This window comes from Homo sapiens, chromosome 2 (genome assembly GCF_000001405.40).
Source record: "Homo sapiens chromosome 2, GRCh38.p14 Primary Assembly".
NCBI classification, from domain to species: domain Eukaryota; kingdom Metazoa; phylum Chordata; class Mammalia; order Primates; family Hominidae; genus Homo; species Homo sapiens.
Genome location: NC_000002.12, coordinates 86,964,372 through 86,978,386, shown reverse-complemented (window position 1 = coordinate 86,978,386; position 14,015 = coordinate 86,964,372). Strand labels below are relative to the sequence as shown.

The window sequence follows — 14,015 nt, the reverse complement described above, 5'->3', positions numbered from 1 at the left end:
GTAAAGGGTCAAGACCAAGGTATGTAGGCTGGGCACAGTGGCTCACACCTGCAATCCCAGCACTTTGGGAGGCTGAAGCAGGAGGATTGTTTGAGCCAGGAGTTCAAGGCCACCCTGGGCAACATGGAAAAATCCCATCTCTACAAAAAATACAATTAGCTGGGCCTAGTGGCGTGTGACTCTCTGTAGTCCTGGCTTCGTGGCAGGCTAAGCCAAGAGGCTCTCTTGAGCTAGGAGGTCGAAGCCACAGTAAGCTGTGATCATACCACTGTACTGCAGCCTGCACAACAAGACCCTGCCTTAAAAAAAAAAAAAAAAAAAGACCAAAATGTCCCCTTGCCATACTATTTGGATGGCAAGGGGACATTCTGACCAGCTTCAGAAAAAAAGTGAGAGAGTGGCCAGGGAAGGAATCTTGGAATAAAAAGTACAGCTAGAGAAATTAAGTGACTTACCGTAATGGCCTTTACTTCTTGGCAAATCATTTTCCGTAAAGAATTCTGATCTTCTGCCCATCGAGGTGGTGTTTTGGGAGAATACTAAAAAAAAAAATAAAAATAACAAAAGAGCATTTAAAACACTTAGAAACAATTTCACAATGAAATGATTCCATTCTTTCCTGTTTACCTTGTAACTTTTACTTGGTGATAGTGAATATTTGGTAGGAGATGGTGTAGAATGTTTTATTTCTGAATCTGCATTTCGCAAAGAACCATTTTTATAGAGAGGACCTCCTTCACTATAGTCTTCGAGTTCCTGCATGACTGACTTAAGCATCTCTTTTACAGACTCCAGGGGCACAGGCAACTAAAAATAAAAGACATTAATTAAGGGCTTTCATTTGCAAAAAATTCCAAAAGTAAAAACTCTAAAATGATATATTTTATCTTATTTACATTTTTGTCATTTTAATAAGCACTTTACACTTTAAATAATAATACACGTGAAAGTGTTTTTTAATTATCTTTTTTCTTTGTTTTTCTGCTGTTTTGTATTATTATTTTTATTTTTTTGTCTTTATTCTATTTTTTTCTTCATGAACACAGAAAAGTGTTGTACAATCTAACATCTTCTGATTCTAAAGTCCATGCTCTTTCTATTACTTCTGTTAACCATGATAATTGTAGAGGAATGTTAACTTGGAAAGCTTTTCCAAGTGAACAAAATAAGTTACTGATGTTTTCTAACTGATTTTCAATGGTGACAGAAATACAGATGCTACAATACACCAGACAACATAAATCCTAATAAAAGAGTAGTAACACAAATTAATCAACAAAACACTCAGAAGACTGAACATAATTTAACATCATCATGACAATCTCAAACAGCTGACAGCAAGAAAACAAGGGCGTTCATAATGGCTGATGAGGATGAGAAGAAATGCTCTTAAGTTGTCAGCAACAACTTTCAATTTCAGCAAAGTTCATTAAGAATTAGTCCTGAGGTTATAATATTTGTTTTGATTACACTGCTAAGATAACACCTAGATTCCCAAGTTTAAAAAGACACACCAAACCTAAGACAAAGCAAGCAAATATAAGCATTTAGACACACACATCCCTTCTGTGCATTAATAACAACATATTACTGAGTATTTTTGAAATTACCAAAATATAAGACCAACGCAAAAACACTGACCAGTGGGTTATCAGTAAGAACGTACATACAACAACCTGCTACTTACTTTCTTGACCACTGAAAGATTTGAATCACTGTCATCTATAATCTTTATTAGGTAGTCCCTGGTCTTTCTCAGATAATTTTTGCATTCTTCTTGTTCTTCAGGAAAAACGGCATCATTTTCAATGTCTTCTGCTTTCCTGTGAAAAATCTATACAAATAGTGCTTTTATGAAATCATTAGCTTTTTAAAACAAAAAACTTTCAGCTTGGCCACGCATGGTGGCTCATGCCTGTAATCCCAGCTACTCGGGAGCTGAGGCACAAGAATCGCTTGAGCCTGGGAAGCAGAGGTTGCAGTGAGCCAAGATTGTGCCACTGCACTCTAGCCTGGCCAACAGAGAAACCCCGTCTTTTAAAAGAAATAATAAATAAATAAATAAAACTTTTAGCTCAAGTACTGCATCTACTTACCAGTGCAAGATTCCAATAAGAAACAACACTTTTTATAGATTCAAAAGCAGTCACAGCATCTTCTATATTTCCATGTACTGCATCCAATATAGCAAAAGTTATGTGTGCATCTTCTTCATACTCAACAATTTCTGATGCCTAAACACACAGAATAGTTTTTAGTCAAATTGTTTATACTCAGAATATAAAACCCAAATGATTTTCCAAAGATTTTATATGATCTTAAGAGACAAACATCTCATTACTCTTCTCTGTCATATCTTATCTGTGAGAGCTAGTGAATTTAGAAAACAAGATTACCGTTAAATAACAAGGCAATTAATTTAAGCAGTTTATAGCTCCACGTCTTTGTTTATAAACTGGAAATTCCCATCTCCAATAAATTCATAAAGGAACTCTGTTACCTGAATGTCTACACTATGAAAATGTTTAAACAGAGGATCAATAGGTTCAGGAATACTGTTCTTCTTTATTATCTTCAACAATGGCAAAACTTTCTTCCAATAATGAACACTTCTCCCTATGTATTCTTGTTGATCATAAGAAGAATTAAGACCCCTGCCCTAAAAAAGAAAGTTAAAAGCACACAACTTTAAGGAACACGCATGATTAGATCTAAAGTTCATTTACAGGTTGTAAGAACTGGCTAAAATTTCAAGTCAAAACCAAATGGTACCTCAATAGTCATTTGTTCAACTTCCAAATACTGTAATAACTAAACCACCTTAATACCAGTGAACTCACTGCAACCTCTGCCGTGCAGGTTCAAGCAATTCTCCTGCCTCAGCTTCCCAAGTAGCTGGGATTACAGGCACCTGCCACCATGTCTGGCTAATTTTGTAGTTTTAGTAGAGTTTTTTTTTGTATTTTTAGTAGAGACGGGGTTTCACCGTGTTAGCCAGGAATGATCTCGATCTCCTGATCTTGTGATCTGCCCGCCTCGGCCTCCTAACGTGCTGGGATTACAGATGTGAGCCACCGCACCCGGCCTCTACACTCAACTTTTAAACACTTCTAATGATACCACCCTAATGTAGCAATCCCAACTACTTTTTAACAGTTGCCATTTTTAGATAGCTGAAACCTGCCTCTTCTGTAGTGTCAGTTTGTTCAAAAGGCTGACCATCTTCACCTAATGGTGACACAAAACAAACCTTAAATATTTAGAAAGATCTATAATGGTCTTACCTACAAAGCCTTGTGCTAATTTTTTTTTTTAATTTTCAGGCTGAATAATTATCAGAACTTAATTATTAAGGAATAACAGTAACAGCTCAGCTAATATGTAACATTCACTGTGTGCCAGGCATTGCTCCTCTAAGTGCTTATATTTAACTACATTAACTATTTTGCAGCAATAAAAAACACATCTGTCATAATATGACCAAGCTGCTGTTTTCTGAACAAAAAAACTTTCAATAAAAAGTGCATGATTTTAAAAAATTAAGGTAATGTTCTTTAAAAATGCTTATACTTTAAAACTCACCATTTTCTGAAGGCATTTTGCCCAATGTACAAGCAGAGCAGGTTGAAGGCCATGTTTTTCCTGGGCTCTTAGAGTGTTTATTTCATGCTGAACTACAAGTCTCAATTCTGCTGAGTTTCCAGGTCTAAAAAATACTTCAATTTACTAAAATTGTTTTCTAAATACACAGTTCAGCGCTTACATACATATATGTTAATGGGTCACATGACAAATTAAATCTTCACATGAGGATTAAATCCCCGGTAAAACCTACGCACTAAGTGAAAGCAATATTTTTGTTTTACTACTTACACTGCTTTTCTGTGAATCAGAGTACAAACCGCATCCCACCAAGATTTTTGTCTCTCTGTACAAAGCCGTTTACACACAGGAAGGGGCAGGCATAACGGCTGATAGGAGCTGTGGTGAGAATTACATTTCTCCTTTAATTGTAAGTGGCTGGTATATACTACTCCAAGGAGAAATACCTGTTTTATTTAAGGAAAAGTTAAGTTAGAAAAAAAAATTAAACAAAATTCAGAATATTTAATTTGTTAAAATCTTTGCTTACTTCAAGATCTAAAATACATATTGATTCAGGTGCATTTGTTTCAAGCCTTGAGGTTTCCTGGGGCAAATGATGGAAAAGCTGTTTTAGCCATTTTCGGATTCCAGGTAAAGCAGGCAATGAATTCCACTGTAAGCCAAGCCAAGTAAGGTGCTGAAGACTACCATTATGTGCTTGAATAGCACCTGAAATAAAATAAAAAAATTGGCTTAAGGGTTTGAAATTTTTCTTTGTGCCATTAGTTTTGCCAACATAAACAATTCACATTATATATATCTTAATTATATAACTGCTTTTCTATATCAAAGCTGGAGGGAATTCTATGTTAGGCAAAATCTCATGTTCTTATTAAATGCATTCTCACTTGATTATTTCTAGAAATTTTAATAAAAATAGTAGTGATGAAGAATGTTTAAGTCCATCTTAAAAAATGACACTGACTAGAACTCAATAAACCAAAATCAACTGACAAAAGCCAAATAAAGAACACCTAACCTAATAAGAAACCCCAAAACAATGGGTTTTCCTTTAAGTCATTAAAGCAATGGAACACCACTATATTAATCCATCGGTACAGTAAAGAAATCTGTTTTTCTACAAGAAAGTCAATATTGAAAAGGTTATGTGCAGTCAGGAGTTCGAGACCAGCCTGGCCAGCATGGTGAAACTCCGTCTCTACTAAAAATACAAAAAATTAGCCGAGCATGGTGTCACATGCCTATAGTCCCAGCTACTTGGGAGGCTGAGGCAAGACAATTGCTTGAACCTGGCAGGCGGAAGTTGCAGTGAGCCGAGATTGCACCACTGCGCTCCAGCCTGGGTGACGGAGCGAGACTCTGTCTCAAAAAAAAGAAAAGAAAAGAAAAGAAAAGGTTATGCGCTTCTGGAAGCATGAAGAGGTATAATCTTTCTGTCATTTTGGCAATTTGCAAGACTTAAAGATGTTCATGTCCTTTGTCTCAGTAATTCTGTTTTTAGGTATCTCTATGGAAATAACTTGCAATGAAGACACTTTTTGTTGAAGTTTTTATCAGAGTATGATTATTAACAGTGGAAAAGTTGAGAAAACTTGGATGCCCAATAACAGAAAGTTGCAAGCAAATTATGACTACTTCATAAAAAAGATTATATTGCCAATAAAAGTGATATTTATAGTTTTAATACAGAGACTATGGGAGAGAATTCATGAAGGAAGCAAGATAAATCATACATAAACAACCATTTAGATGAAAAATATGGTCAGATGCAGTGGCTCATGCCTATAATTCCAACACTTTTGTTTTTGAGACGAAGTCTCGCTCTGTCGCCCAGGCTGTAGTGCAGCAGTGTGATCTTGGCTCACTGCAACCTCCACCTCCCGGGTTGGAGCGATTCTCCTGCCTCAGCCTCCTGAGTAGGGACTACAGGCACATGCCACCACCCCCGGATAATTTTTGTATTTTTAGTAGAGATGGGGTTTCACCATGTTGGCCAGGATGGTCTCGAACTCCTGATCTCAGGTGATCTGCCCGCCTCGGCCTCCCAAAGTGCTGGGATTACAGATATGAGCCACTGTGCCAGGCCTAATCCCAACACTTTGCGGGGCTTAGGCAGGAGGATCACTTGAGCCTAGGAGTTGGAGACTAGCCTGGGCAACAAAGGGAGACCCTGTCTCTACCAATTAAAAAAAAAATTATCTGGGCCGAGTGGCATGTGCCTATGGTACCAGCTACTCAGGAGGCTGAGGCAAGAGAATCCCTTGAGCCCAGAAGTTCAAGGCAGCAGTGACCTACGATCACGCCACTACACTCCAGCCCAGGTGACACAGCGAGACCCTGTCTCAAAATACAACAAGGCTGGTCGCGGTGGCTCACTCCTGTAATCCCAGCACTTTGGGAGGCCAAGGCAGGTGGATCACCTGAGGTCAGGAGTTTGAGACCAGCCTGACCAACATGATGAAACCCCGTCTCTACTAAAAATACAAAAAATTAGCCGGGCGTGGTGGTGGGCATTTGTAATCCCGCTACTTGGGAGACTGAGGCAGTAGAATTACTTGAACCCGGGAGGCAGAGGTTACAGTGAGCCGAGATCGCACCACTGCACTCCAGCATGGGCGACAAGAGCAAAACTTGGTCTCAAAAACAACAACAACAACAAAAAATACATGCCACCCCTACAGCACCACATTCAAACTCCCCCCAGCCCAACCCACACACAAAAGGAATACAGGAAAATATTAAGTCGTTATTTCTGGGTAATAAGATTATGGGCAATTTATAATAATTAAGACGGAGACCATTTCCTCTGAAACATATAACTTACCAACATCGTATCTAGCCAAATCTTCAAGCTCTGGTTCTTGTACATCAATGTTTCCAATATCATCGCTACCAAGAAAAGATGTATCCTTAGATGACTGACTAGAAAACAGAGCATTATATAACACAGACTGCCCGCTTTTGTTGGCAAAAGTTTCAACAACCTCTTTTAAAAAATCTTGCTTGCCACGACTTAAGTTTAGCAACATATGCCCTGAAAAAAAAATTTAAGTTATTTCCATCACTTTAAAAATACAGATTGTATTTGCTCACGTTGTCTCATTTGTATACCCAAAGGGGAAATAACATGATTATTGCAGACCTAACCCTCCAACCCAAAAAATACAGCTGGACAACAAAACGGGTGCTTATGTAGCAAATGAAAAGAGTACAGGTTTAATATTCTCAGTATCTACATAAGACAGCAGAAGGGGGAAAAAAGACAGGAATGTGTATGAAAAATGCCAAACATATTTGCATTTTAGATGAAAAGGTCTGGATTTAAGTGGCCATAGGAGAACAGGGACAAGCTCTTATTCTCTGATCTGATACACTGATTTCTGAACCTGGCTGATCAGAATCCTCCTTTAAACAGCTTTTAAGAATTATTTCCGGCTGGGCACGGTGGCTCATGCCTGTAATCCCAGCACTTTGGGAGGCCAAGCTGGGTGGATAATGAGGTCAGGAGATCAAGACCATCCTGGCTAACACAGTGAAACTCCGTCTCTACTAAAAATACAAAAAAAAAAAAAAAAAAAATTAGCCGGCCCTGGTGGCGGGCGCCTGTAGTCCCAGCTACTGGGGAGGCTGAGGGAGGAGAATGGCGTGAACCCGGGAGGCGGAGCTTGCAGTGAGCCGAGATCACGCCACTGCACTCCAGCCTGGGCGACAGAGTAAGACTGTCTCAGGAAAAAAAAAAAAAGAATTATTTCCAGGCCTTGTTCCCAGAGATTTTTATTCCATAGGTTTACAGTAAGCAATCAAAAAATCATAGTCCTCGGATAAAATACTGATACATGCTATAACACAGATGAACCTTGAAAACCTTGCTAAATGAAAGAAGCCAGTCACAAAAGACCACATACTACATGATTCCATTTATGTGAAATGTTCAGAAGAGGCAAACCGGCCGGGCGCGGTGGCTCACGCCTGTAATCCCAGCACTTTGGGAGGCCAAGGCGGGCAGATCACGAGGTCAGGAGATCGAGACCATCCCGGCTAAAACGGTGAAACCCCGTCTCTACTAAAAATACAAAAAATTAGCCGGGCGTAGTGGCGGGCGCCTGTAGTCCCAGCTACTTGGGAGGCTGAGGCAGGAGAATGGCGTGAATCCGGGAGGCGGAGCTTGCAGTGAGCCGAGATCCCGCCACTGCACTCCAGCCTGGGCGACAGAGCGAGACTCCGTCTCAAAAAAAAAAAAAAAGAAGAGGCAAACCTACAGAGACAGATTAGCGGTTGCCAAGGCTGAGAGGTTTGGGTAAAATGGGGAGTAACTGCTAATAGGTAAGAAATTCCTCATGGAGTGATGAAAATCTTCTAAAACTGACTGTGGTGACAGTGGTAATACTCTATGAACATAGTAAAAGCCACTGAACTGTACACTTTAAATGGGTGAAGCGTATGGTACATGAATTATATTTCAATTCAACTTTTTTTAAAAACCCTCCTTTGAGTTAATTCTGCTGGGCAATTAGGTTTGGTTACCACTACACAGTTGTGTCTCAGCACACTTACAGAGGCACCCTCGGGATGCCCAGATCAAAGACATAAAAAAAAAATACAGGCAATTTTCATCTAACTGTGACACCATGCAAAGGCACTTATGAGAGCCCTGCAAGGGTAGAAGGAAAAGAGAAAAGGAAAAAAGTAGAAAGTCACTTTAAGGACTGAAAGCCTAGCTCCCACAAAAAAAGTGGGCTATGGAATAAAAGAGCAATGTGAGCTTTGGCCAACAGCCTAACTATACACCAAAGCTTATAATAACTTTGATTTAATATTACATCTTGCTCTTTACAAAATTCATCCAATTTTATATCAAAACTGCTCCTTATAGGAAGCATTATGTTTCTTCAGTTCACTGCTTGATTCAATGGCCATCTAACTACCTTAAAGTTTGTATCTTAGCAAAATCACAGGTAATATGCAACAGACCTTTAGGATTCATCCCAAGCCAAAAACGGGGGAAAAAAATCCACAAATTCCAAGAGCCTAATATAAGGTAAGTATATATCTTCTATCTTCCTCACTATGCTCTCAGCTCTTTAAGACAGATCCGTATCTTCTTCATCTTTATATCCCCACAGCAGTGTTTTTAGAATCAGCTGGTGTTAAATGGTTGGCAAATCAATAATTATACTTAGTTCAGGAAGTGACTAAATATTCAGGCTAGAGGCTCTAGCAGCCAGATGAAGAAAGAGTTAAGAAATCCTCTCCACATAGGAACAAACAATATCAAATATTCATTTTTTTTAAAGAATGTGCTATTTCTTCGCATCTCTTCCATACCTATTGCTCTTAACTGATACGGCAAAAAGAAATAATTTTGACAAATTATCTCCTGGACAGATGAAGATTTTATCATAAGATATGCCTTAACAGAAATTCCTTTTTCTTTTTAAATTAAATTAGTTTAATATTACTATTACCTGATTGGCTCAGTCGGTCACAGGCCATCATTTCCAGCAGATTTTGTCCAGCTTCACCTTTTATTAATTTAATCTTTGGTCTTGGAACCTAATAATTTTAGAATCAAAAATCTTAATTTGATGATACCCATACTTCTAATAGTAACATGGTCTTGTCTATTACACTGTACTTTTTTTGATAATGAATAAACAGTTAACCATTAATTAAACTGAATTGGAAAAGACTGCAAAAACTGGGAACCAAGGAATTTATATAACCTATGAAAGATAGGCCAGGTACAGGCGTGGTGGCTCACACCTGTAATCCCAACACTCTGGGAGGCCAAGGTGGGCTGATCACTTGAGGTCAGGAGTTCGAGACCAGCCTGGCCAACATGGTGAAACCCAGTCTCTACTAAAAATAATAAAAAAAAAAACAAAGAGGCAGGCGTGGTGGCACACACCTGTTAATTCCGGCTACACGGGAGGCTGAGGCACAAGGATAGCTTGAACCTGGGAGGCAGAGGTCGTAGCGCGCCGAGACTGCGCCATTGCACTCCAGCCTGGGTGAAAGAGCGAGACTCCATCGCAAAAAAAAAAAAAAAGAGGGGCCAGACATGTTGGCTCACACCTGTAATCCCAGCACTTTGGGAGGCCGAGGTGGGGGGATCACTTGAGCCCAGAGTTCAAGACCAGCCTGAACAACACGGTGAGACCCTATCTCTAAAAAAAGTTTTTTTTATTAGCCAGGAGTGGTGGCACACAACTGTGGTCCCAGCTACTCAGGAGGCTGAGGCAGGAGGATCACTTAAATCCAGGAGGTCAAGGCTGCAGTGAGCCATGATCATGCCACTGTGCTCCAGCTTGGGTGACAGAGTGAGACCCTATCTCCAAAAAAAGAAAAAAAAAAAAAAAGCATACACAGAGCAGCTCTGAGAAATTAGTTTCTACTAAAAGCACATTCGTGTTACATTCAGAGAAATGGAAAATTTAATTATATTACTTTTCTGCCCTGAATAAATAGGACAACAGCAGATGTTGTCCTATTTGAGTAGATATGACACCCTACTTTAAAAAGTACAGGTGAAATGACACTTGGAAATGCCACATTGTAGATAACACATTTTCAGAGTATGGATAACAGGGGATAGCACTAGAATAAATGGGACAACCAGGAAATTAAAGAGATCCTAATGCAATAACCTATGGAAAAAAAAAAAGCATGATGAATAGAATGGCGAAGGGAAGACGTGACAGCTGCCTTCAGGTATTAAAATTATTTTATAAAAGAAATCATCAAAAGAAGAAACAAGACCAACAGGTAGAAGGCTTGAAGAATATTTTTATTCTATATAAGGAAGTACCAAGAGCCAAACCACCTAAAGATGCACTGGGCTATCTTGAAAAGTAATGAATGCCCATCACTGAAAACGTCCAGTCACAGGCAATGCCCACTTACTAGAAACATGCCAAAAGTAACTATATGGGTGACTAGAGCATCGGCTTTTAATTCTATCACCACTTTCTTAATTGGTGGTGGAAATGTAATTTGATACAACCTCTTTAGGGTTAGATATTTGGCAACAGCTCTAAAAATTATAAATGCACAGATATACTTTGATACTGCAATTCTTTCAGGAATTCATGGCACAAGTTAATCATTGCTAAATTACTTGAAGTAGCATTAAAAAAAAAAGTAAAAGCAAGCTAATGTCCTGGTTTTAGGACCCTGGTTTTAAAAACTCCAAAACTACAGTACATCCATACAATGGAATAATATGCAAGCATCCAAACTAATGAGAATGCCCTTTATATATACTGACATGGAAACATCTCCAAGATACAGTTAATGGAAATAAAGTAAATGCAATGTTCAAATGTTTTCCTCCTTCTTTTAAAGACAGGGGATATATGTGTGTTTACTTGGAGATGCATAAAACATTTCCTGAAGAACACACAAGAAAGCAATAACATTAGTTTCTTTGGGGCTGGAGAAAGTAAATAACTAGGGAACAGAAAGGAGTCTTCATAGCATATTCTTAAGAGCCGCCAGAATTTTAAACCATGTATATATAATTCTTTCCAAACATGCTCATTTTTCAAAATATATGATTTATGAACCTAAAAGCTTCTGATTTTGAATTTTAGAAATATTCATATCGCCTATCCTTTTACTCACAAGTTTTCTAAACATCATGTCAAAGTTTGTCATCTATATGTTGAAAAGAGCACACAAAGTAAGAAACAAAATGTTGACATCATTCTTTTTGTTTTCAAACTGACCTCAATTCATAAACCCGGCCTCTTTTACAAAATTATTCAACAGTTGAATCTGTGACCAGTTAATTAGTTGTGAATCCACTCAATCAAATCATCTCAATTCACTATTTCCTCTTTTTTTTTTGAGATGGAGTCTCGCTCCGTCGCCAGGCTGGAGTGCTGCAGTGGCACGATCTCGGCTCACTGCAATCTCCGCCTCCTGGTTTCAAGCAATTCTCCTGTCTCGGCCTCTCAAGTAGCTGGGACTACAGGCACCTGCCACCATGCGTGGCTAATTTTTGTATTTTTAGTAGAGATGGGGTTTGACCATGTTGGTCAGGATGGTCTCAAACTCCTGACCTCAAGCGATCCGCCCGCCTCAGCCTCCCAAAGTGCTAAGATTATAGGTGTGAGCCACCACGCCTGGCTATTTCCTCATCTTAACTAAAAGGTTTCAAGATACTTTGTTAACTACCTAGCTGCAATGCAGATGCACTTACTAGAACCACAGTATTCCTCTGATTAAGAGTCTGAAAATCTTGCCATAAAAGTTAGCCAATTCTTAAATACCCAAATGCCAGCACATAACCTACATTTTATGCTTATAATCATTTGTTCATTAAGCTTTAAAATAAACTGATCAAATAAAATACAAGCATCTAAGATGTTTCTATTATATATTCATTCTACAGAAATATGTGGTAGCTAATAAAGACTGAGGTAGGTATCTCTGTGCTGAAGTGGAACAATGAAGAAACATTCAGAAAAGCAAGGCATCTGGCAATAGGTAAAGCACACCCACATTGAGGCACAATATTTTTTAAAAGCAGAGAAAGAATGTATTGCACATTTGCATATGCAAAAAATATTTCTGAACACCCAAGAAACTCCTAACAGTAGCTGTCATCTAGGAAAGGAGACCTGAGTGAATGGATTAAGAGGGAAACTAACTTATTATGATTAAAAGTTCACAGTCAGGTGTGGTGGCTCATACCTGTAATCTCAGCACTTTGGGAGGGCAAGGCAGAAGGATCACTTGAAGCCAGGAGTTCAAGACCAACCAGCCTGGGAAACATAGCAAGACCTTGTCTTTACAAAAAATTTAACAATGTAGCCAGGCATGGTGGCAGGCACCTGTAGTCCCAGCTACTGAGCTGAGGCTGAAGCAGGAGAGGATCACTTGAGCCCAGGAGTTCGAGGATGCAGTGAGCTATGATCATGCCACTGCACTCCAGCCAGAGCAAGAGTGAGACTCTGCCTCCCAAAACTACATATCGAAAAATTTTAGGCTGTGCGCAGTAGCTGACACCTATAATCCCAGCACTCTGGGAAGCTCGAGCCCAGTTCAATGTTACGGTGAGCTACGATTACGCAACTGCACTCCAGCCTGGGTGACACAGCAAGACTCTAATAGACACACAGACAGATAAATTTTAAAGTTTCCATTAAAAATAAGAACTATTGGCAGGGCGCGGTGGCTCACACCTGTAATGCCAGCACTTTGGGAGGCCAAGGTGGGCGGATCATGAGGTCAGGAGATCGAGACCATCCTGGCTAACACGGTGAAACCCCATCTCTACTGAAAATACAAAAAAATTAGCCAGGCGTGGTGGTGGGTGCCTGTAGTCCCAGCTACTCGGGAGGCTGAGGCAGGAGAATGGCGTGAACCCAGGAGGCGGAGCTTGCAGTGAGCCGAGGTCGTGCCACTGTGCTCCAGCCTGGGCGACAGAGTGTGAGACTCCATCTCAAAAAAAAATAAAATAAATAAAAATAAGAACTATCAGTTACTTGAGAATTTCTATAAGAACCTTTTAATGTTTGTATTACCTAGTGAACCTCACTAAATCCATTAATTTTCACTAATCCATTCCTTATGAACACAGAAGTTTCTACTGAGCCAATATTAGCATTTAACATGTGAACTGTCTATCAACGGTGTTTTTAAAAGATTTACAGGCCAGGCTCAATGGCTCATGCCTGTAATCCCAGCACTTTGAGAGGCCGAGTCGGGTGGATCACGAGGTCAGAAGATCGAGACCATCCTGGCTAACATGGTGAAACCCCATCTCTATTAAAAAATACAAAAAATTAGCCAGGCATGGTGGTGTGTGCCTGTAATCCCAGATACGTGACAGGCTGAAGCAGGAGAATCACTTGAACCCAGGAGACACAGGTTGCAGTGAGCTGAGATTGCGCCACTGCACTCCAGCCTGGTGACAGAGCGAGACTCCGTCTCAAATAAAAATAAAAAGATTTATATTAGGCAGGGCATGCTGGCTCACTGCCTGTAATCCCAGCACTTTGAGAGGCCGAGACACGCAGATCACCTGAGTTCAGGAGCTCAAGACCAGCCTGACCAACATGGAGAAACCTCATCTCTACTGAAAATACAAAATTAGATGGGCGTGGTAGCGTGTGCCTGTAATCCCAGCTACTCGGGAGGCTGAAGCAGGACAATCGCTTGAACCCGGGAGGCGGAGGTTGCAGTGAGCCAGATGGCGCCATTGCACTCCAGCCTGGGCAACAAGAGCAAAACTCTGTCTCAAAAAGAAAAAAAGATTTATATTAGAAGGAGGGGCCTTCTCTAAAAGTAATGAATCCTTTTTTTTCCCTCCCCAAGCAAAAAATCCTTCTCTAAAATTAATCATTTTTCTAAGCCTGGTTTAATGCTTTTTTTGGAAGACTGCTTATTTCTTTTCCTTTCAA

The 14,015-nt window shown here is 39.7% G+C and overlaps 1 protein-coding gene across 10 annotated transcripts in view; it reads right to left on the bottom strand.

Annotated features, from left to right (window-relative positions):
• RGPD1 (RANBP2 like and GRIP domain containing 1) overlaps nt 1-14,015 on the bottom strand; it is a 100,318-nt gene that overhangs the window by 35,590 nt on the left and 50,713 nt on the right. For all 10 annotated transcript variants that reach the window (XR_007074605.1, XR_007074622.1, NM_001410915.1 and 7 more), the window contains 10 exons: nt 9,072-9,159; nt 6,431-6,640; nt 4,133-4,314; nt 3,874-4,049; nt 3,583-3,706; nt 2,501-2,659; nt 2,097-2,234; nt 1,688-1,834; nt 628-807; nt 456-539 (listed from right to left, as the gene is read on the bottom strand). Coding sequence is in view for 8 of the 10 variants with exons in the window: in NM_001410915.1 (NP_001397844.1) it covers nt 456-539; nt 628-807; nt 1,688-1,834; nt 2,097-2,234; nt 2,501-2,659; nt 3,583-3,706; nt 3,874-4,049; nt 4,133-4,314; nt 6,431-6,640; nt 9,072-9,159 (1,488 nt within the window). In the remaining 2 variants the exon portion in view is untranslated. The remainder of the gene's footprint in view (nt 1-455; nt 540-627; nt 808-1,687; nt 1,835-2,096; nt 2,235-2,500; nt 2,660-3,582; nt 3,707-3,873; nt 4,050-4,132; nt 4,315-6,430; nt 6,641-9,071; nt 9,160-14,015) is intronic.